This window comes from Homo sapiens, chromosome 20 (assembly GCF_000001405.40).
Source record: "Homo sapiens chromosome 20, GRCh38.p14 Primary Assembly".
NCBI classification, from domain to species: Eukaryota; Metazoa; Chordata; class Mammalia; order Primates; family Hominidae; genus Homo; species Homo sapiens.
The window spans coordinates 60,539,928-60,564,919 of record NC_000020.11 but is presented as its reverse complement, the minus strand read 5'-3'; the positions used below and the strand labels follow the sequence as shown (position 1 = coordinate 60,564,919).

The following is a 24,992-nucleotide window of genomic DNA, read 5'->3' as shown; positions in this document are numbered from 1 at the left end:
AGTGTTCATGGGCCTTCAACAGTATATCTGTGAAAGCGTTTTGCGAGCCAGATATTTGTTGTCACTATTCGTTGGTGCACAGATTCCGCCTCAACCTGCAGAGGGAGGACCAGTGTGGTTTATCCATAGAAAGGGAAGGGGCTGCCTGAATTCCAGATGGATTAAACTCTCTCTTTCTGTTTCTCCCAGCCTTCTCCTACTTCCTTCCCTGAGCTCCTAACTAAAAGCGAAGGCTGGGCTGCTAAACAGCTGTGTGTCCCCAGGAGGAAACCCATGGTGGGCGTGTATTAGGTCGCTGCAAAGGTAATTGAGGTTCTTGCCTTTACTTTCAATGGCAGAAACCACAATTACCTTTGCACCAACCGAATACGTTGTTTGACTCACATTTACGGAGAAGCCTTCACACACAGCTCTTCAGCTTGGTGATTCCTGCTTCCGGAGAGTGGGCTAATTAAATTAGGAAGGGAGCGGGTTGTCATTAGACAGCCAGAGACACTATCACCCATATCTAATTTTGTTCCTGGTTTTAGATAGAGTCATCTCCTTTTGATGCATATAATTTAAGAGGTTAATAATTTTGGCTTCGAGCATGAATAATAATTCATTATTAGCAGAACAAGAGAGAGATTCGGCTTTCTATAGTAACACTCGGTCTGAATTTGTTTTTCCTTAAGTTAGGAACAGGAGGAATGCGCTTTTTGGAAGTTCAAAACCGCCAGTTTGATAGTGTTCCCAGCAAGTCTCATTTCAGTTACAGGATTAACAAATCAGACACTCGCCCTTGGTATCTAATTAGCTTTGTCATTTATTGAATTTCAGAGTTCCCTAGTCAAAATAAAAGACCTTTCCCTACTTATATTAAATGATCATGCTAATCTCCATTTTAACACAATTAAATTTTACTCAAATTGTTTAATTTTTTAAAAAGTGAGAAAAATGTCAGGGACTGACTAGTGTTTAAAACAAATGACCGTTCTCCACTATGAAGCCGTTGGCTGTAAACTACCATCTCTATGATTTCCCAGAAGGACAGGGGTACATTAGAATGAAACATCTGCCCAGAAGAGTCTCTAATTACAAGAAGTGTAACACAAAAAACCTATTTCCCGAATTAATTCCTGAAAGTTGAACTAATACTAAATGCTAAATACTGAAATACTCAAAATACTAAAAAATACTAAAATCCAAGGTGAAAATAGACTGCCAGTGAATAAACAGACTTGTGATAAGGAGATCCAAAACCAGATTGTTCCTTTGGAGACAAACAGATGTCAGCTTCTTTTGTTTGTTTCATTTCTCTAGGCCAATGTGCTGACTGCTTATTATTTTCAGTATGATAAAGTTTTATTGGAAAGTAGCCTCACCTATCTGTTTAGGTGTTGTCTGTGGTTGCTTTGACACTGTGACTGAAACTGTGGCCGTCAAAGCCATGGCAAAGCTAAGGAGAAACGTCTTACAGCATTAGCCTTTAGTTCCAAAGTCCATGTTCAAATTCATCCACTATTCTTTTTTAAAAAATAGATCTGTCCCATAACAAATACATACAAACAAACACACCCCCACCTGCACACAGCCTGAAAACTGAGATGTAATCGTTTAATAATGATAATGGAATACTGCAAAATTTTTCCTAATTTTTCTCTGTGACACCACAAATATGCATTGTACCACTCGTGTTCAGTTTATGTAATGTCAATGCCCATTTCTGCTTATTGACTCATTTTATCATACAAAACTGACACAAGCTTCTGATTAATCTGTCTCCAAAGGATCAAAATGCTTTAATAAATACATTGTTCCTTTAGGTCTGGGAAGAAATGAAACTGTTAGCTTAATGTACTGTGACATTGAATGAAAACCTCTGGTTGCATTTAACTGGAAAGCCAGCTAGATAAATCCGGAGGACCCGTTAAGTAAATGACACCACACTTTCTTAATGGCCAATTGGGGCCTACCTTCCTGAAGCAAATAAATAAGAAAGATTTGAAATGGAATTTGGGGGTTTCGTTCGTTGGTTAAATTCTCAAAGGGGTGGTGTACCTTGGATAGAAATTATGACAAAAATCCGTGGCTTAAGGTAATCCTAATAGGGAGAGCAGAGAGAGAAGAACAAAACAATCTCGGTTTTTTATGGGAAGAGGTGAAGACTCACAAGATGGGAGAGAGCCCTTCATCTAGCGGTTCTCGAACGTGGTGTGCCCCAGAATCATCTGGGGATCTTGTTAAAAATGTGTGTTCCTGGTCTGGATCCCAGGAGACTCCAGCACAGGCTATGCTGCCCGTGCTTTCTTTAACGGCTCTCTCCTTTCCTTCAGAATCCCTTGAGGCGGGTGATTTGCTCTGTCAGGCACACTGCTGGCTCCTCCCCTCCATCACCACAGCCCTAAGCATTAATCCAACTATGGCCATTGAACAGGGCCCTTTCTCCTGGATGTGAAACCCAAATCCCCAGCTTTCCAAATAGCACTTGGGGGTCTCGTCTAAGGCCAAGGGCAGGGCCTCCCCTGGACAAGCCATTGTCAAGGGCTCTAGCACCAGTGATCACTGCTGCTTAGAGAAGAAAAGTGGTGTGAAACTGACCTGCTCTCTGCTGGGAGCCACAAGCTGGAGGAGGCGGCTTTGGGTTTCAGCATTAATGCTTTCCCTGCAGATCTTTGATTTTCCTTGATATCTGTGTTCTCCCCATGCTCTCCCATCCCTTGTCACTGACAGGTGCTTCTTACCTGTCCTCTTGCCCCCCTCTATTCTCTGTTATTGAAAATAACATCTCTATGAACAACTCCTTCTTCCTGCTCTCCACCGAGTATTTGGGGACATCCATGCCACTGTGATCAGCAGGACTCTCATTTGCTTGGCATGTTCAGTCTCCCAAGAGCTCCCCAGCCCACTTACAGGACAACAAGACCCCCAGACCCAATGAGGCCACACTGCCCACATGGTTTGGTGATACAGGGCACACCATTTTTCGGGGGTGGAGAGTCAGTCCCTGAAGAATACTACAAAAGGAACAAGGAAGATGCTCCTGGGAGCAGGGATAAAGGACAGGAACATTCAACCACATTTAGGATTTTCATGACTCAGAAATGAGTGGCCAAATATCTGGACTTCAGATCTTGTCAAAGAGCTTTGTGATGGCCAAACACTTTTGGCTCTGTTACAAGTCATCCTATTTACTCAGCCCTGCTAGCCATGTACTAGAAAGTTCTACAGCTTGTTCTTCTCTACCACTGAATCACATCTGAAAACTTATCTTAGGTGCTTCTTATTCATTTATAGCTATGAGATGCTTTTCCTCTTTTTTTAGATTTTGCCATTTGAAATGTGAATCTCCCCCTGCTCCCCACCAACACCTTCCATCAGAAGATGTAATTAGATGGGCCTCTACCTGCATTGTAGCCGCTGAGGAGTTGATTATATCTGAAGTCAGGTTTCAGGAAAACAGACTGGGAGGTGGATATTTTCCTGTGGCAGGTTCACAGGGAGTGTTCTCAGCAACACCCGACAGTGGAGGAGAAGGGCTGGGCAAAGGGAGAAGCTAAAGTGCAGTGCAGTTGCCCAGGAGGCCTCGCCAATCTCCAAGGGGACCCTGGAGATGGAAGGCACTTCTTTTTCATTCAAATTGAGGCAGCATGGCTGGGCCTTTTTACCACTGAGTAGACCAGCCACTGAGCCTGTGTTGTCCCGGGGAGGGGATATAGGCTAGGGTGAGGCCATTGTCTTGGGGAGGTGCAATGCCTAGAGAAATATAGCTGTCAGCTGACAGCAGCCAGAAGCCCTGCAGAGGGACATCAGGGGCTTGGTCTTGAAGGGATGATCTGGGCCATGGACCCCAGCATCCAGAGATTTACCTTTCAAGTTACAGAACCATCTAGCTGGCCTTGTTTTGCTGTTTGTCTCTAAAAGCAGATTCTGCAGAAATGAAGACATCCTATCTCCTCCTCTCTTGAAATCAGATTTATCCTCAAAAGTCGTCTACATCCAACTGCTCTCCCCACCTTAGTGTGAGCTACCATCATCTGTGCCCTGTGCTTCCACAGCTCCCTGAAATGTTCTCATGCTATTACAGCCATCCCACTACTCAGCAGCTAGTCCAGCATCACCCTCTTCTCGGGACCCTCAGTGGGCTGTTCATCAAACCCTATCCGACACCCAAGCCATGGTCCACAGGCTCCCAGTGATCTGGCTGCCCCTGACCCCTCCCTGCCCTGCCGGCCCCTCTCCCTCATCCTGTCGAGCGGTGTTGGCTTCCTTCCAGTACCTGACATTCCAATCTTTGCACATCTCTTCTCCTTTCTGGGGCATCTTGCCCTAGATTCGTGGCTTACTCTCTCAGCTCCCAGCCTCTGCTCCAACCTCGCCTTTCTGAAGGAGTCTTCCCTAGACGTCCTGGGACAGTGGCCGCCTGTCACCCTCTAGCATTGGATCCTGCTTAGCTTTTTGCTGCGGCCGTTTTCCTGTCATACTCCTTTTATTCTGTGTCTGTTTAGTTGTGTGATCCCTGCCCCACCCCCTCAAAATGAAAAATGTAAAATTCCATGATAATGGTGACTTTGGTTGTTCACAGTGGATAAATTTTTTTTTTTTTTTTTTGAGACAGAGTTTAGCCCGGGCTGGAGTGCAATGGCACAATCTCGGTTCAGTGCAACCTCCGCCTCCCAGATTCAAGCAATTCTCTTGTCTCAGCCTCCTTAGCTAGGATTACAGGTGCCTGCCAGCATGCCCGGGTAATTTTTGTATTTTTAGTAGAGATGGGGTTTCACCATGTTGGCCAGGCTGGTCTTGAACTCCTGACCTCAGGTGACCCACCCGCTTTGGCCTCCCAAATTGCTGGGATTACAGGCGTGAGCCAACATGCCCGGCCAAGAAATTTCAATTCTTTAGAAGACAGGGATCCTTCCAATAAGTGGCCTTTTAGGAGCCACTTGGCGAGGTGCAAGACCTCATCTTCGGGGCAGCCCATTTTCGCTTCTCCTTTCTGAAAGTTCTGTTGATGAGTTTCTGCACATCGACTTCAGCCGATTAAGCCTTGGAAAAGGCGATTCGGGAGCAACTTACAATGTCACTGGGAACCAGAGTTGGCCCATCACAGTGGTGATTTTCCAGTGTCCTGGGATGGTTGAGTTTTACTTGCAGAGTTTCTTCTGGCACCCGGCATTCCAGCCAGAGACAGGTGCTCAACAAGTGCCACGTGGAGGAACTAAGACAGCAGCCGGCCAGGCGGCCACACATGGACTGAGGGAGGTGGATACAAACGCTACTCGGGTTTCAGGCCTGGCTTTCTGTTTGTCAGAGAGGCCCAGTGGCCCCAGCTCCTCTTTTCCCTGACATCCCAGCAGGCGCTGTCATCACCTGATGAGCTCTTCAGGGCCTCAGTAGCTTTGCTCCTGGCAACCTGGAAAACACATGCAAACAGCTCTTTTAAAATTCCCTAAGTGCAGGGGCACTAACTGGCCCAAAGGCTCCGTGCTTCGGTGGGAGGTTATGCTGGAGTCACAAGAGATGTGTCAGAAGAAGATCTGGTGGTCAGGGGCTCCCCTCCTCACAAAGGAGAGAGGATTGCACAAGGCCAGCCCACGGGGCTCTCTGCGCTCTGTGCTGCAGGGTGGGTGGGTGTGGGTGAAGGAGGGCAAGGTCAGCTCCAAGAATGCTTTCCAAGGAGGTGGACTCAGGAGTGCAGCTGGCTTTTCTCAAGGTTTCGCCTCCTCTACAAGTGTTCCCCAGATCCCTCATGCATTTCTTCCTTCATTTCTTCAAAGATAGACATTGGAGATCAGAGCAACACACCAGGATCCTCTCATGTTTATTCTCTTAGTTTATCAGATTCTTCAGCCCATATCATCTTTGCCAATTAACGAAAGTCTTTTTTTATTATCTCTATCATCCAAGAACTCCGCCTCTGTTCCTTTTCTCCTTTTCATCACCCCCTCTAATATGTTGGACGCATACCCATAAACAAGTCATGCAGCCTTATCAAATATATGGGGTTATTGTACTGGGGCATTTCTTTGAAGAAACAAAATGAGATTTAGAGCTCAGCTCCTAAAAATGGCACTTATTAGAGGGATCCCTGCTTTCTAAAGAATTGAAGTTTCTTTCTTTATCCACTGTGAACCACTGAAGTCAGTGTTCTCATGGAATTTTACATTTTCATCTTGGGAGGGCAGGGATCACACAAGTAAACAGACACAGCATAGCATGAGTATGAGGCGAAAGCAGCTGCAACAACATTCATGCCTGCTCCCTCCGGGCCACCTGCTCCAGTTGAGATGGAATTTGCTCCCTTGTCCCCTGTCCTGGGATCACATGTAAACTGGCTGTCACAGACAGGTTCTTAAAAAGTCACACAGGTGCTCCGTCCACATTGTTTGGGGTGCTAGAGAATTGAAGGTGAACTAGAGATCCATTTTTGGGGTTATGTAATGTAGAGGATATATACCAGGCAATGCTATGCAGCAGTTAGGAGCAGCAGAATAGATATGCACGCAGCAGCAATGTCGTATTGTTCTAAGATGTTGTGCTGATTGAAAAATATCAGAAACAAAATGAGATTTAGAGCACAATGCCCCAGCACAATAATCCCCTATATTTGATAAGGCTGCATGGCCAGTTTATGGGCATGCATCCAACACATTAGAGGGGGTGTTGAAAAGGAGAAGAGGGACAGAGGCGGGGTTCTTAGATGATAGAGATAATAAAATAAAAATAGACTTTCATGAATTGGTAAAGATGATATGAGCTGAAGAATCTGATAAACTCAATTATGCTTCTAAGGAAAAAATAAAGGAAGGAGGAAGGAAGGAAAACAGGAAGGGAGGGAGGGAGGGAGAGGAAGAAAGAGCAAGGCCACTTCATTTAAAACTTGCTTCCTTGAACTATCGCAAGGACAAAAAAACAAACACTGCATGTTCTCACTCATAGGTGGGAATTGAACAATGAGAACACATGGACACAGGAAGGGGAACATCACACACTGGGGCCCTGTTGTGGGGTTAGGGGAGCGGGGAGGGATAGCATTAGGAGATATACCTAGTGTAAATGACGACTTAATGGGTGCAGCACACCAACATGGCACATGTACACATATGTAACAAACCTGCACGTTGTACACATGTACCCTAGAACTTAAAGTATAATAAAAAAAAAAAAATATATATATACATATATATATATGTATAAAAATAACACTTGCTTCCTTGATCCCAACCCCAAAAGACTTGCCATCCTGTGTCGGGATGGGAAGGGGGCAAACCTGCTCACAGGAACAGGCACATCCCATGTGGGAGCTGGTACCTGGAGAGCCCGGCCGGCACTCAGCGCTCAGCCATCCTTCCTTGTGCTGCACATTCCTGCCAGGATTGGCCTGTGAATTGTGACCCCCCTTGAGTGAGGAGACATCTCCTTATTTGCTCCTGGGTCCGTGCTTGCCTTATTCCTCCAGAATAAGCACTCAGTAAACATTTGCTAAGCAGAACATAATCAACAAGACAACACGGGAACCTGAATAAACACATGTGAATTGACTGAGAACAAAAGGGATGTTTGATACAAGGTTTTAAAAAAGAAACCCAAAAAGTTAAGGTTTTCTGAGAAAATCAGGGGAACAATGTTCCTGAGTGGGCAGAGACCCGGGTGGATGTTTTGGATGGAGTCTTGTTGACTGAGTCTCTCTGTGACCCAGCTGACAGAACACAGGGGAAGCCCCCAGCATGGGTGGGCATTAGAGGACTGTGTCTTTCTATCTTGAAAATGTGGGAGCTCCCTGTTACACAAGGGAGGCTCCAGGGTGGTGGGAAGAGCTACATTCTACTCTTCAACCCTCCACATTCAGTTGAGGAGAGGATGCAGGTTGAGAGCAGCGCTGTGAACAAACCTCTCCAATGCTCTCAGCCACGGCCATGCCTGTCATCCACACATCCTGCGGGGCACAGAACACGTTCAATACACTAATTGGTCGGAGGCAGCCATTCCTCCACTAAAGCAAGTGAGCAGGGAGGCCTGGGCAACCCAGAGCTGTGGAAGCTGCTGCTGCAATGGCTTTCATTGCCCTGAATGTGATCAGATGCGGTACTCACCCCCCTGGGTTTCCTGCTTTGCTGTTTTATCCTTCATTGGCATCAACCGTTCCCAGTGGGGTGTTACATCCCAGGGAGGTGATTTTGATATGGGGGGGGTGCATTTTAAAATTCTCATGCCCTCATACCAAGCATTTAAATATTGAATACCTATTATGTTCCTTTCATTTCTTCCTTACATCACAGTTAGGGCTTTAATTTTTTTTTTTTAAATTACACGTAATAGGTATTGAGCATTACCTATAGATTTCATCTCAGGATAGAGAAGGGGCATTACAAAATGTTTTGTTACATATATATCAACTCTTTCACACAATCCTGGATTGTGGCTGAAACCTCTAACAAGAGCAAAGGCCATCGTGGAGGAGATCAGAAGTGTTTCACCTGCTGAAGGCAAAAAGCTGGGAAGACTCTGGAAGCCTCACCTTTCCTTCCTGTCTGCATCCAGTAAAGGCCAAGACCTTTCAGTTCTGCAGCTAAGATGTGTCTTCAATCCTGAGTCTTTCTTCCCTCTCCAGGGTCCACCATTATTGGTGCAGGCATCACTCAGGCCCTCCATTCCCAAGAAAACACGGGGTTCTTTTTAACACCCCTGACCATGGCTCAAACCCTCCAGTGGCTTCCCATCACTCACAGAATAAACTCTGCATGCTGTGGCCTGGGTGGGAACTCTCTGATCTGCTCCTGGCCTGTGTCCCCATTTATTTTCCAAGACTCTCCCCTGGGTCCCCAAGCTCAGCCCCAGGGCCCCCCTGACCTGGACAGAGGATGTGCTGTTTCCTCTGTCACTCCTGTCACCTGGAGCTCACTCGTTGCTGATAGCCCCATGGATGACCCTCAGATTCCTCCTCTGACTGCACTGTTGGATGGGTCCCCCTTCCTGTGACTCCCCAGGAGACCGCCTGCCCCACCTTCCTTCCTGGCACCTCTTAAGAGCTGAAATTGTGCCATGAGCTCATCTGCCTTCCTGTTGATGATTGTTCTCATGGATTAGAATGAAAAGTCCATGAGGACAAAGACTGTTGGTGTGATTCTTAAGTGGATCCCCAGTCCCTAGAATCAAGTGTGTTAAGCACGTACCTTTTAAATGGGAATAAAAATAGCCTTTAACTCATGGGGCTATTATAAGATTGTGTGAGATTATAGAAATCATCACTGTTTAGTGTATTGCCTCTTTTTAAATGTTCTGTGGGCTTCGTATCATTTATTCCATCATAGCAGCCCAATTAAGTACTTACTATTACTTTGCCCATTTTGCAGATGAGTGCATTGCTGCACAGAGAGGGTAAGTAGCTTGCCTGAGGTCACATAGTCAGCAGGTGACAAAGGCAGGACTCTAACCAGGAGTTGGGCTTTCGAGCCCAAGCATTTTGCAAAACACTAGAGTATCTGATGTAGAGTTGGTTACATGAACGACTGCTTCGAAGACAATGATGAAGACCATGGCACTGATGACAACTGGTTCAGCCATGGCCAGCAGCCCACCCATACCACCACGTGGCTTCAGCTCTCTTGTCTTGGCAGGGAGACACAGGGCACAGAATGCCTTCAGGCTTGGTTTACTGGGAATGAACTCGCATCCTGCTTTACACAGGATCATGGGAACCTCACAAACTCCAAGTACCTTTGACCTCCATGAGCCCTTCTGACAAGAGGGGAGATCATGCTCCTTCCATGCAGACCAGTTTTCCAGGAAGACGGCCGGGCTGTTGGCATTCTCTGCCACCGTCCTAGTTTGCATTAGGATGAATTGAGAGTGTGAAGATACTTTCAACAGTGGGAGGTGTTGGCCTTTTCCTGGAAGAAGCAATGCATACTGCCCTTTAACCAGCTAGGATATCTGTGCTTTCAGGCATAGATGTCAGGAGGAGAGAGTTCAACTGCTGTGAAATCTCTCTGAATCTAGCGTGGCTGGCTGAATGTCATACGCAGTTTCTACTAAGACTCCTAATCCCCACACAGAGTGAGGGATGTGTTGGGAGTCTTATTTTAAGGAAAAACTTCACTAACTCTTTGATTGGGGTCCACCATTTGCAGGCAGTTTGAAGTGGCTTTGAAACCCACTGTAAAAAAAAAAAAAAAGTCATCACATTATTTGCTGTAAACAAAATTAAACCTAATCTATCTATCTTGTTGTACCTGCAAAGCAAAACAATTTGGAAGGTCTGCAAGAGTTCATGGTTTAAATCACAAAGCACAAGCTCTCGAGGAAGTTTCCCTAACCCAGCCACCACTGCGAAGTGAAACAGAGGAGTTTCAGGGGAAGGAAGGAACTGGTCTTTGAAGAATGTGCTATGTGCCCTACAAACCATACGTCACCCGTGAATCCTGCCTGAGCCGTAAGGGCACATCCTGTCTCATGGATGGGAATATTGAGGTATGACTGTGTCAAGAGATGTGTCCAAAGTCACACATCACTGAATGTGACCCCGGTCAGTCTAACCCCAAAGCCTTCACACGGCAGCCTCCTTCTGAGCAAATGTAGTCTACATTTGCTCATCTTCTCCGTACAGCAGGACCAGCTCCTCCAGGAGCAAATGGCCAAGTGAGTTGTCAACTTCATCAATTCTTCTTTGGAATCCCAGCAAGGCAGGGACCGTGCCTGTCAAGACGGATCCGCTTCCAAAACTCAGCACTGTTTCCTAAGTTTAGAAGCTGTGATGTTCCCCGTAGCTTCAAACAAACAGATTCCAAATTGGCTTGGAGAACTGCTGAGGCCAGATAATTTATTGAGATATTACTTTGTATTTTGTTCTTCATATTTTCGGACTCCTCATCCCAATAAGTAGCCAGACCATTGTTCTCAGTGTTCTCACAGGCGTCTCTGACATAAATTCAGGAGCAGAGGTACCCTCAGAACCTTTGTCTCTGCCTTTTATGGAAGTCCGAGCATTGTTCACTAACCTTAATGTTTTCTCCTAAGATAAAGGCCAGCTTTTTCTGAAGGGTTGCCTCTCTTTTTAAGGCAGCACTGACAAATTACTGATCATATCTAGCATGCATGGCTTTTACTGATTTAAGTGTCATGGTTCATTCATTCATTCTTCCATCAAACATTTCCTGAATCCTGACCATCAGCCAGGCACTGCTCTAGCTGCTATTCAGGAGCAGGGGGTGGGGACTCTCTTTGAACCAGTTTAAGATCTAGCAAAATTTCTATGACTGAAACTCTGTATGAAACATTCATTCAATCTGGCACACAGATCTCTCAAAGACTGTGGATGCTTTCTGATTATGTAAAAATTGCAAACACATATTTACGCAAACAAAGTATTTTTGAATGGGAAAAAGCAAATTTATAAAATAATGAAAGTGGTTATCTTTGAATGTTGGGATAATAAGCGACTTTTTCTTATTTATTTTTTGCACCACATATTTTCTTCAATAAAAATGTTTTATCATTACCGCGAAAAGAACTAAGTATTTTAGAAATACAGTTAAAACAACGCTGTATGTGTTGATTGGGTTTTGCAATCAGTGCAACTCATTTTTCACAGCATCTGAATCATTAAGTGCAATGATGCCGAATAGATTTCTGATGCATCTGCCACGTCATTTCCTGTGTTTCCAAAGCAACCATATCTGATGAAACAGGATAAATACTGGATATGTGTGAATTTACTTGGTATATCCTTTTAGAATGCAGTATTCTGCAAAACTGAAAAACATGCTATAAAGAAACAAGACTATTCAAATAGAAATGAAGAAACTGGTTGTATAAAAGTATATATTTGATAAATAATTAATGGAAATGTGAAAATAAAGCAGAATGACTCTTAGAGGGGAAAAAACTTCTGAAATCATCTACGGGAAGATAAATAGAGGAAAAAGACAAATAAGGATGCAAAAAAAATCTCAAAAGAACATAAAGCATTCTGTCACAGACAAAATGTCAGCAATGGGATAAATACAGAGATTCAGATAATATTATCATCCAGCATATCCATCTATTGGCTTTTGGGGAGTTGGAATCCTGCAGCTCCATACTCTCCATGCTAAGCCTGGGGCATGGCATCCAGATCTGGGGCTTTAATCACACCCCTGCTCAGCTCCACCTGTGCCTTGAAGTCCTGCTGACCTCTGGAGCTCAACTGCTGGACTTGCCCACCCTGTGCAGGATTGGGTGCCTGAAGCCAGGAAGCTGAGTCTCAGGCCATCCAGTGAATAAAGCCTCAACATCCACACTGTACGTCTCCCTCACCCTCTCCACTCTGCACTCTGCCCCTTGTCCCAGCCCCTTCCTCTGACTCAAAACCATCTCCTTCTTCTCCCATGACCCCTCCTGACATAGAGCCTTCACTCAGTAAAAGTATCTGCTTTTGCTTTTATTTATTTTTCAGATTATATTTTTTTAAAAATAAGGCTACATTGTGGAAAATACTGAAGAAAATGTAAGGAGAATATTTGGAATTGCCTCAAAGTCCACCAATAAGAAAAACAAAATTCAATTTCCAGGTTACTGCATTTTCTGTCATAGACCTGAAGCATATTACAGGATGGTAAGAATAGTTATCAACTAATGATTTAATGACCATCTACTATGTGTCAGGTATACCCACAGTGTGTTATTTTATAGCTGTGAAAACCATAGACTATACACAGTATTATTATCCCCTTTTAACAAATGAGGAAACTGAGGGTTAAGGAAACTGAGTCACAGAGGGTTAAGTGGACTGCTGTTGAGGACTGGACAGGATTAGAACTCAAGGTCTTATGTCATAGCTCACATTTCAATTTTTCTTGCAAATCTAGAAATTTTACCTGTGCCATGACAAATTCTTTGAAAGCCATACTTACAGTGACTACAAAAACTTTCATCTTATGGCTACACAACAATTTAATCAAACCATTGTTATCTGATATTGATTGTTCCCTATTTCCAGTTACTACAAATAAAATGGAAATAATACTCTATACTTAAATCTTGATGCACAGCCAGTTGATGCCATATCTGACTTCCAATTTTAGGCCTGGATTGATCTGTGCCATATTGTGCCATGTTTTCAGTTCGAACATGAACTGGAAAGCTATGATGCCCATTGTTACTACTACTACCTTACAGCATTTGGAAAATCTATCCCTTACAATAAAATAAAAAAAAAATCAATATGGTACAATTATCAGGAATAGAAGATTAAATTAGTTTTGCAGATCACATTGTGCATCTTAAAAGGCCAGTAAAACCACAGTATAAAAATAACTAGTGTCCGCTAATATATTGAGTTACAAAAGTGAAAAATAAAAATTAATAGTTCTACCATGTATTGACCAAAACAGTTACAAAATGTGACCAAAGAAAGGTCATATTTACAACAGACATGGAAATATAAAATGTTTAAAATAGATTTAGGGAGAGGGAAAGCAAGGCGGTTGAATAGAAGCCTCCATCAATCCTCCTCCTCATAGGAACATCAGATTGAACAACTATTCACAAAAAATATCATCTTCATAAGAACTAAAACTCAAGTGAGTGATCATAGTACCTGATTTTAACTGTGTATCACAGAAAAAGGCACTGAAGAGGGTAGAAATTACAGTCTTGAATTGCTGACAGCATCCCTCCTCCATCCCCCAGCAGTGGCTGTGTGGCGCAGAGACAGAATCTGTGTGCTTGGGAGAGAGAGAGTGCAGTGATTGTAGGACTTTATGTTGGACCTCAGTGTTCTCCTGGCTCAGTGGAAAGCAACATGGGCAGAACTCGGCCAGCAGTCATGGATAAAGCATTTAGACTAGCCTTAGTGAGAGGGAAATCATCGTCCTAGCAGTGAGAATCTGAGTTCCTGACAGCTAACCTGATCTGGGGTTCGAAACAAACTTGAAAGGCAACCTAGGCCACAAGGACGGCAATTCCTGGGCAAGTCTTGGTGCTATGCTGGGCTCAGAGCCAGTGAAGTTGGGGTACACGTGACCTAGTGAGACACCAGCCAGGGTGGCTAAGGAAGTGCTTGTACTTCTCCATCCCAGGCAGCATAGCTCACAGCTTCAGGAGAGGCTCCTTTCCTCCACTTGAGGAGAGGAGAGGGAAGAATAAAGAAGACTTTTTCTTAAAACTTGGATACTAGCTCAGTCATGGTAGGACAGGGCACCGGCTAGACTCCTGAGGCCCACTTTCCAAGCCCTAGCTCCTGGATGACAGGATTTCTAGATACTCTCTGGGGCAGAATGAAAACTGCTGCTTTGAAGGAAAAGATCCAGTTCTGGAAAGATTCATCATCTGCTGACAAGAGAACCCTTGGGCCCTAAATAATCAGCAGTGATACCCAGGTAGTACTCACTGTGAGCCTTGGGTAAGACTCAGAGACATGCTGGGTTAAATGTGATCCACACGTTCCCATGCTATGGTTGCTGTGAGAAGAGGCTTCTTCTGCCTGAGAAAAGGAGAGCAAAGAGTAAAGGGGACTTTGTCATGCAGCTTAGGTACCAACTCAGCCACAGTAGGGTAGAGGACTAAGCAGGGACATGGGGGTTCCTGATTCAAGGCCTTGGCTTGTAGGTGACATTTCTGAACCTACTCAAGGCCAGGATTGAGCCCACTGCCCTAAAGGAAGAGACTCAGGCCTGGCAGCATTCATCACAAGCTGACTGAAGAGTCCTTGGGCCTTGAGTGAACATCAGTGTAGCCAGGCAGTGTTTGCCATAGGCCTGGGCTGGTGGTGGCCATAGGGAGAGACTTCTCAACTTGTGGAAAGAGGAGGAAAGAGTAGGAAAGAAGTTGTATTGTGGCTTATGTGCCAGCTCAGCCTTAGTATAATACAGCAAGTTAGATCCCTAAGGTTTCTGACTCCAGACCCTGGCTCTCAGATGCCATTTCTGGACCTACCCAGGGCTAGGGGGGACTTGCTGTTCTGAAGGGGAGGACACAAGCCTGGCTGGCTTTCCCATATGCTGATTGTAGAGCCCTAGGGCCTTGAGAAAACATCAGCAGTAGCCAGGCAATGGTTACTATGGGCCTTGGGTGAGACCCAGTACCATGCTGGCTTCAGGTCTGATGCAGTGCAGTCCCAGAGATGGTGGTCACAGAGGTCAAGAAGTGGTGGCTTGTTTCACCCATGCCCCAGCTCCAGGCAGCTTGGCACAGAGAGACTCCGTTTGTTTGAAAGAAAGTAAGGGAAGAGAACAAGAGTCTCTGCCTGGTAACCCAGAAAATTCTTCCAGATCTTGTCTAAGACCACCAAGGTGGTACTTCTATGAGTCTGCAAGAGCCACAGCGTTGCTGAGCTTGGGGTGCCCTCTAATGCAGATATGACTGCAGTGATCAAACTGCAGTTTCGATTACAACACCCAACTCCATTCAAATGCCTGGAAAGCCTTTCTAAGCAGGATAGGTACAAACAAGTGCAGACTGTGAAGACTGTAATAAATACTTAACTATTCAATGCCTAGAGACCAGTGAATATCCACAAGCATCAAGATCATTCAGGAAAACATGATCTCAACAAATGAACTAAACAAGCCATCGGGGGCCAATCCTGGAGAGACAGAGATATGTGAGCTTTCAGACAGACACTTCGAAATAGCCATATTGGGGAAACACGTGAAATTCAAGATAACACAAAGAAGAAATTCAGAACACTAACAGATACATTTAACAAAGATATTAAAATAATTAAAAAGAATCAAACAGAAATTCTGGAGTTGAAAAATGTAATTGACATACTGAAGAATGCATTACAATCTCTTTAGAACAGAATTGATCAAGCAGAAAAAAGAATTAATGAGCTGGAAGATAGGCTATTAGAAAATATATAGTCAGAGAACAAAAAAGAAAAAAGAGTAAAGCACACCTACAAGATCTAGGAAATAGCCTCAAAAGGGCAAATATAAGAATTATTGGCCTTAAAGAGGAGGTAGGGAGATATAGGGATGGAAATTTTATTAAAAGGGATAACAACAAAAAATTCCCAAACCTAGAGAAAGATATCAATATTTAAGAATATGAAGATTATAGAAAACCAGGATTTAACCCAAAGAAGACTACCTCAAGACATTCAATAATCAAATTTCCAAGGGTAAATAATTTAAAAAGATCCTAAAAGCAGCAAAAGAAAAGAAAAAAATACTACAAAATGGAGCTTCAAACATGCAAACCAGGATAGAATGGCATAACATAAAGTGCTAAAGGGAAAAAGAAAGAAACTTTTATCCTAGAATTGTATATCCAGCAAAAATATACTTCAGACATGAAGGAGAAATAAAGACTTTCCCCAACAAACAAAAACTGAGGGATTTTTATCAACACCAGACCTGCCCTGTAAGAAATGCTAAAGAGAGTTTTTCAATCTAAAAGAAAGGGACATTAATGAACAATAACAAATCATCTGAAGGTGCAAAACTCATTGATAATAGAAAGTGCACAGAAAAACACAGAATATTATAACACTGCAATTGTGGTGGGTAAATTATTCACATTTTGAGTAGAAAGGATAAAAGATGAACCAATCAAAAACAATAACTACAATAACGTCTGAAGACACAGACAGTACAATAAGATATAAATAGAAACAAAAATGAGTTAAAAGCAGGGGATAAAGTTAAAGTGTAGAGTGTTTATTCATTTTTTTCTTTGCTTGTTTGCTAGCCTGTTTATGCAATCAGTGTTAAGTTGCCATCAGTTTAAAATAATCAGTTATAAGATATTATTTGGAAGTCTTACGGTAACCTCAAATCATAATACATACAACAGATACCCAAAAAATAAATAGCAAGAAATTAAAACATACCACTAGAGAAAATCACCTTTACTAAAAGGAGGACAGGAAAGAAGAAAGAGAAGACCACAAGACAACCAGAAAACAAATAACAAAATGACAGGAGTAAGTCCTTACTTATCAATCATAACATTGAATGTAAATGTATTAAACTCTCCAATTAAAAGACAAACATTGGCTGAATGGATGAAAAAACGAGACCAAATTATCTGTTGCCTACAAGAAACACACTTCACCTATAAAGACACACATAGACTGAAAATAAAGGGATGGAAAAAGGTATTCTATGCAAATGGAAATTAAACAAGAGCAGGAGTAGCTATACTTATATCAGATAAAATAGTTTCTAAGACAAAAACTATAAAAAGATATAAAGAATATCATTAGATAATGATAAAGGGGTCAATTCAGCAAGATGATATAACAATTGTAAATATATATGCACGCAACACTAGATCACCCAGATATATAAAGCAAGTATTAGTGCTAAAGTTAAAGACTCCAATACAATGAAAGCTGGAGACTTCAACACCCCATATTCAGGATTGGACAGGTCGTGCCAACAGAAAGTCAAGAAAGGAACATTGTACTTAATCTGCACTATAGATTGAATGAATCTAATCAATATTTACAGAACATTTCAGGTGACAACTGCAGAATACACATTCTTCTCAGCACATGGATCATTCTCGAGGATAGGCTATATGTTAGGCCACAAAACATGTCCTAAGAAATTCAAAGAAAATAAAATTGTATCAAGTATCTCATCTGGCCACAAAGGAATAAAACTAGAAATCAATAACAAGAGGAATTTTGGAAACTATACAAACACAAGGAAATTAAACAATATACTGCTGATTAATGATCAGTGGTGTCAATGAAGAAGTTTTAAAAAAATTAAAGTTTCTGGAAACAAATGATAATGGAAACGCAACATACCAAAACCTATCAGATACAGTGAAAGGAATACTAAGAGCATTTATAGCTATAAAAGCCTACATCACAAAAGTAGAAAAATTTCAAATAAACAACCTAACAATGCATCTGAAAGAACTAGAAAAGAGCAAGCCAAACACAAAATTAGTAGAAGAAATAGTAAAGATCAGAGCAGAATTAAATAAAATTGAAACAAAGAAAACTATACAAAAGATCAACAAAATAAAAAGTTGGTTTCTTGGAAAGATAAACAAACCTGACAAAACTTTAGCCAGAGTAACCAAGCAAAAAAGAGAGAAGACTCAAGTGAGTAAAATCGGAGATGAAAAATGAGACATTACAACTGACACTGCAGAAATTCAAAGGACCATTAGAGGCTACTATGAGCAACTATATGCCAATACATTGAAAAACCTAGAAGAAATGAACAAATTCCTAGACACATACAACCTAGCAAAATTGAACCATGAAGAAATCCAAAATCTGTATAGACCAATAACAAATAATGAGATTGAAGTCATAATAATAATAATAAAAAGTCTCCCATCAAAGTAAAGTCCAAGACCCAATGGTTTCACTGCTGAATTTTACCAAACATTTAAGGAATAAATAATACCAATTCTACTCAAAGTATTCTAAAAAATAGAGGAGGAGGAAATACTTCCAAACTCATCCTATGAGGCCATTATTACAAACCAAAGACACACTGAAAAAAGGAAACTACAAGCCAATATTCCTGATAAACATTGATGAAAAAATCCTCAACAAAATATTCAACAACACACTTTAAAAAAATCATTCATCATGATCAAGTGGTGTTTATGCCAGGAATGCTAGGATGGTTCAACATACTCAAATCAGTGTGATACATCATATCAACAGAATGAAGGATAAAAACCATATGGTCATTTAAATTGATGCTGAAAAAGCATTTGATAAAATTCAACATTGCTTCATGATTAAAAAAAAAATCCTGAAGAAACTGGGTAGAGTAGAAACACATCTCAACAGAATAAAAGCCATATATGACAAACCCACAGCCAGTATTATACCAAGTGAGGAAGACTGAAAGCCTTTCCTCTAAGATCTGGAACATGACAAGGATGCCCACTTTTACCACTGTTATTATTATTTTTTTTGAGATGGAGTCTCGCTCTGTCACCCAGGCTGGAGAGCAGTGGCACTCTCTCGGCTCACCGCAAGCTCCACCTCCCAGGTTCATGCCATTCTCCTGCCTCAGCCTCCCGAGTAGCTGGGACTACAGGCACCCACCACCACGCCTGGCTAATTTTTTTGTATTTTTAGTAGAGATGGGGTTTTACCATGTTAGCCAAGATGGTCTTGATCTCCTGACCTCATGATCCGCCCGTCTTGGCCTCCCAAAGTGCTGGGATTACAGGCGTGAGCCACAATGCCTGGCCTTACCACTGTTATTAAACATAGTACAGGAAGTCCTACTTACAGCAATCAGAGAATAGAAAGAAATAAAGGGCATCCAAACTGGAAAATAAGTCAAATTATCCTTGTTTGCAGATGATAGAATCTTATATTTGCAAAAAACAGAAGACTCCACCAAACAATTTTTAGAACTGAAGCAAATTCAGTAAAGTTGCAAGGTACAAAATCAACATACAAAATCAGTAGCAATTCTATATGCCAGCAAAAAACAAACTGAAAAAGAAATAAAAAAAAAAATCCTATTCACAATAGCTACAAATAAAATAAAATACCTAAGAATTAACCAAAGAAGTGAAAGATCTCTACAATGAAAACTATAGAACATTGATAAAAGAAATTGAAGAGGACACAAAAAATATGAATAACAGTCTATGTTCCTGGATTGGAAGAATCAATATTGTGAAAATGTCCATACTACCTAAAACAATCTACAGATTCAATGCAATCCCTATTAAAATACCAATGACATTCTTCACAGAAATAGAAAAAAATCATAATATATTTATGTGGAACCTCAAAAGACCCTGAATAGCCAAAGGTATCCTGACTAAAAAGAACACAACTGGAGGAATCACATTACCTGACTTCAAGTTATGCTACAAAACTATAGTAATTAAAACAGCATGGTACTGGCATAAAAACAGACTCATAGACCAATGGAACAGAATAAAAAACTTGGAAACAAATCCTTACATCCACAGTAAATTTATTTTGACAAAGGTGCCAAGAACATATATTAGGGAAAGGACACTCTTCAATAAATGGTGCTGAGAAAACAGGAATTCCATATGCAGAAGAATGAAACTAGACTCCTACCTCTCACCATATATGAAAATCAAATAAAATGGATTAAAGACTTAAATCTAAGACCTCAAACTATGAAACTACTAAGAGAAAACTTTGGGGAAAACCTCCAGGCCATTGGACTGGGCATAGATTTATTGAGTAATACCCCACAAGCACAGGGAACCAAAGCAAAAATGGACAGATGGAGTCACATGAAGTTAAAAAGCTTTTGCACAGTAAAGATCAACAAAGTAAAGAGCCAACCCATAAAATGTGAGAAAATGTTTGCAAACTACCTCTCTGACAAGGGATGAATAACTAGAATATATAAGGAGCTTAAACAACTCCATAGGAAAAAAAATCTAATAATCTGACTAAAAAATAAGCAAAAGATCTGAACAGATGTTTCTCAAAAGACAACAAACAAATGGCAAACAGGTATATGAGAAGGTGCTCAAAATCATTGATCATCAGAGAAATGCAAATCAAAACTATAGTGAGATATCATCTGACCCCAGTCAAAATGTTTCTTTTATCCAAAATATAGGCAATAACAAATGCTGGTGAGGATGTGGGGGAAAAGGAACCCTCGTATACTGTTTGTGGGAATGTAAATTAGTGCAACCACTATGGAGAATAATTTGGAGGTTCCTTTACAAACTAAAAATAGAACTACTGTATGATCCAGCAATCCCTAGGGATGCTAGGTATACCCAATAGAAAAGAAATAAGTATATTAAAGAGATATCTGCATTCCCATGGTTGTGGCAGCACTATTCACAATAGCCAAGATGTGGAAGCAACCTACAAGTCTATCCACAGACAAATGATAAAGAAAATGTGGTACATAGACACGATGGAGTACTATTCAGTCATAAAAAAAAATGAGATCCTGTCATTTGCAACGACATGGATAGAACTGGAAGTCATTATGTTAAGTAGAATTAGCCTGGCACAGAAAGATTTTGCATGTTCTCACTTATTTGTGAGTTAAAAATTAAAATAATTGAACTCATGAAGATAGTAGAACCATGGTTATCAGAGGATGGGAAGGGTAGTCGGGTGGGAGTGGGGTGGGAGTGGGGTGGGGTGGGGAGAGGATGGTTAATGGGTACAAAAATGACATTGGATAGAATGAATACAATCTAGTATTTGATAGCACAACAGAGTGGCTATCGTCAACAATAATTTATTGTGCATTTTAAAGTAACTAAAAGAGTATAATTGAATTATTTGTAACACAATGAATAAATGCTCGAGGTGATGGATATTTCATTTGTCCTAATGTGATTATTAAACATTGTGTGACTGTATCAAAATATCTCATGTACCCCATAAACATATACATCTACTATGTAACCATAAGAATTTAAAATAAAATTTTTAAAAAGTTAACAATGAAGTAAATGTAGATACTACAGTTAATACACAAATAAAAAGTGAAAAATAGATTTAATAAGAAATTTACAAGGTCAATATCAGTAAATAAATGACATTACATCCTCTTTCTCTAGGAAGAAATTTGCAATACTATAAAGATGACAATTTCACAATGATTAATTTGTAGATTTAATTAAAAGTAAATAGTATTTTTTTGCAAGTAGATAAAAGTGTTTTAAACTTTATGTTGTAGGATGAATAGTTAAAAATGGCTAAGAAAAGTTAAAAACTGGAATTTAGAGCCAAATATTCAGTTTTTAAAATTATAACATTAAAGATGCTAAAGAAGTCAAGTGTTATATTAGCCATTGATTTTGCTTAAGGGTGGTGATTTAATTTGGAGAGGCTAGTGGGGATTTATCCAATACATTGTAACTGGGCTATTGTTTACTATTTGGAATATTAAGACATGTTCTGACCTCTCAGTTTGCATAAACAAATAAAGCAAAGCAAAATAAAACCAATAGAAGATAAAACATCAACATGTAACTTGATTGCGGTTAATGATAAAAATGAAACCAAAAAGAATTATGTCTGCTTATATTCCATAGTTCAAGAAATTATTTCCCTGGTTTAAAGAAAAAAATTATATTATTAACCTCATATTAATTACATTAAAGATAAAATACTTTATTTTAAAATATACTGTAAAAATGGAAAGGCATACCACATGCTTAGCAAAATAATTGCCTTACAAGACAGAATATGTTAATCCCATTACATAAAGGTAATTTATTAATCCACACAAAAATCATAAGGATGAATAAGAAAAAGCAGTGACAAGAGAAGAAACACAAATAGCTAAAAATATATAACAATGTTGAAGTCAGTAATGATAAAACACAGCAAGTTGAAACAGCCATTGAATAAATATGTTAAACTGCCACTTTGAAAAATATGTACATTAGAAAATATTTTCAAGAGTTGGGGAATGTACGGCAAAGAGAGTACTTGGACGCATGACGGGTAAATGTTTACGCTGGCAGGTTGTTCCTGGAAGACAATTTGGCAATAGAGCTATCAAAAGTCTTTTGCCATCTTTTGATGCAGCAATCAATCACAGGTTTGTTTGGTTTGGTGAACGCTGATTACATTTGCTCTGTTCTAAATTATTTACTGGGATGGTCTCACTTATTCCGAAAACCCTGTGAAGTAGGGACTCATAATTACCATCTAACAAATGAACATAAAATTAGAAGAATTGAGGCAAGTCAGAACCGACATCCAAACTCAGAACTTCTCAATGCTATCTATCACGCAGGCAGGATAAGAGCCTGTGCTCTTCTCGGCCCCATTGTCAACGGCAGGGCTGATGCATGGAAATGCCCATTGCTTCATGATTTATGGAGGAAAAGGGGAACAGCTGGGAGTAGCTGGGGAACTGAAGCACATACAATGTGGGCAGAAGGCTTAAGGTTATGGACCTGTTAAATTCTATATTTTCAAGTAAAACAAGTAAAAAATAACTTTAGTTTTGTGAAAAGTTGTAAAAAGAAAGAAAGAAAGAAGTAAAACAAGAAGGGAATCCACCAAAATATTAATCATGTTGAGTTCTAGGTGGGGAATTTGGGTAACTTTTATTTATTTATTTTTGGTCCAAATTTTCTCAAATAAACGTGTAATACTTTTGAAATTGTATATAACATACATAAGCATGTATGTGAACACATATACACACACACACACACACACACACACACACACGCCCCTCACCAAAATCAAGTATCATTCCTAGGAGAGCCTCAATGCTAATGTTGTCTGTGTACCCTGCAGGGATTAGAGGCCCACATTTACCAATACTCTTTCTCACCAAACCTCTGTCCAGGGCTATTTCTTCTTTACAGTCCTCCGTGATTACAAACTCCTTTTTTAACCTGTCCTTGGGCCAGCTATTGAGACAATTGCCCATCCCTGTGCTTTTGGCAGCAGAAATGCAAAAGAGATGGGAAATAGAGACTAATATGAGGGCTGCATGTTGGTAAGTAACAGGAAAATGGTGGGAACTATGGTGAAGGGGAGTGGATAGCTCTTCTAAAGGCACAGCTGTGAGTGACCCCTAGCCAATTGATGCTTCATGGAAATTTAAATGCAATTTTGCCAAAAGTACAAATTTTTAATGAGAATTCAGAAATCTGACCTTTTATGCAAAATATGTTTATGTACTCAACATCAAATTTCTCTTATTAAAAAAAAACTTACAGCCAATATTAGGAAAATCAAACAAACTTATCCATCAATGAGAAATTGCTACATTTCTTAAAAATGAAATCTAATTAGCACTGTATGCCACATTTTATGCATGTGTGTTCCTTCCTTCCTACTTTATCTTTTTTTAATCTTAACATTTTGTATAATACAGATACTCTGCTTCTAGTGTTAGCAATGCTCTCAATACAGAAATTTCAAAGCATACATTAACAAATAACAAATAAAAGAAAATGAAAAATATTTAATACAATCAACACTGCGCTTTTGTGCTCACTTTTTTTTTGCTTTTGCTTGTTTATTCCCTTACTTTTCCAGATTCACACACAAACACACACACACACACACACACACAGAGGTATTTTCATTACATCAACATAATAATTCAGCATACTTTTCCTATGATTCACAAAGAAGAAGAAAGCATAAAATATTCCACCTGAGATCTATTGGAAACAAACTCGATGTGTACACAGAATATAATATTATTCAAATAACATCATTCTTCCTGTGGACTGTAGACTCTATTAACAGCTGTTCTATAAACAATAAAACCTATTCACCCGTGAAATTCATTTATGTGAATGTGTTCATTATGGACACATTAAAATAAGGGAAACGTATGCTGGACTTTGAGTGATATAACACTGAATATTGTAAGGAAATATTCCTTGTCAAAAGAACAAATATTAGTAGAAAATAAAGCCCAATTTGAATGCAGAGCTGAGGTAGGTGCTAAGTATATGAGCTGAACTTGATTTTCTCTGGGTCTATTCATTTTCAAGTGATGGAAGCAAATATGTGACTTCAGATTTGTTTCCTCCACACTATTTCTGTTCTGTCAACTCCTGTTAATCTGTTTCAGGGATAACTTACAGTGTTTGGGGGCTCCAGAGACAGACTCAACCTTTCTCCATTACCTTGTGCTCGATAACACTTGGAAATGTTGGTTTCCTCCATGTTAAATACTGCAAACAGGTTCCCTTTTCATTGCGATATATGGAAAGAAAAATAAGACTGTTGGCAACTCCTTTATTTCACACATTCCATTTCATTTCTAGCTGGAATCAAAGTTTGCCATGTTCCTCAGAAGACCTAGCTTGCAGAGCCCTCAGCTTTTGAAATAAAACTCCCATAACATTTCAGCAGCATATGAAATGCACAGTTTTAAGTCCTCAGATACTCCTCCAACCTCCACTAGGGATGGGATGCTCAAAAGTTAGTCAATCTTCCTTCTTTAAAAAAAGAGTGGAATGGGGATAGGGTGCACTGTTGTCCCCCAGGGTCTCCTTGCAAAGTATTTGCAATGCTGTTTGTGCTATACGCATGCTTCAAAACACAGTTGAAGACTCAGACCTCTGCAACCAAACAAAGAAGCAACACATCC

At 40.6% G+C, this 24,992-nt stretch overlaps 1 long non-coding RNA gene and 1 other non-coding gene across 3 annotated transcripts; both read right to left on the bottom strand.

The window, feature by feature from the left end:
* Positions 1-294: 294 nt before the first annotated feature.
* MIR548AG2 (microRNA 548ag-2) lies at positions 295-358 on the bottom strand. Its single transcript, NR_039653.1, has one exon. It is a non-coding gene; the product is annotated as a microRNA 548ag-2 (primary transcript).
* An 8,901-nt stretch (positions 359-9,259) lies between these two features.
* LOC124904945 (uncharacterized) lies at positions 9,260-15,636 on the bottom strand. 2 transcript variants are annotated; one of them, XR_007067688.1, is made up of 3 exons: positions 14,348-15,636; positions 13,556-13,682; positions 9,260-10,135 (listed from the first exon to the last, which is right to left on the bottom strand). It is a non-coding gene; the product is annotated as an uncharacterized LOC124904945 (long non-coding RNA). The 2 variants fall into 2 exon arrangements; XR_007067687.1 differs by lacking the exon at positions 9,260-10,135 and having other exon boundaries at positions 12,794-13,682.
* Between the last annotated feature and the right edge of the window lie 9,356 nt (positions 15,637-24,992).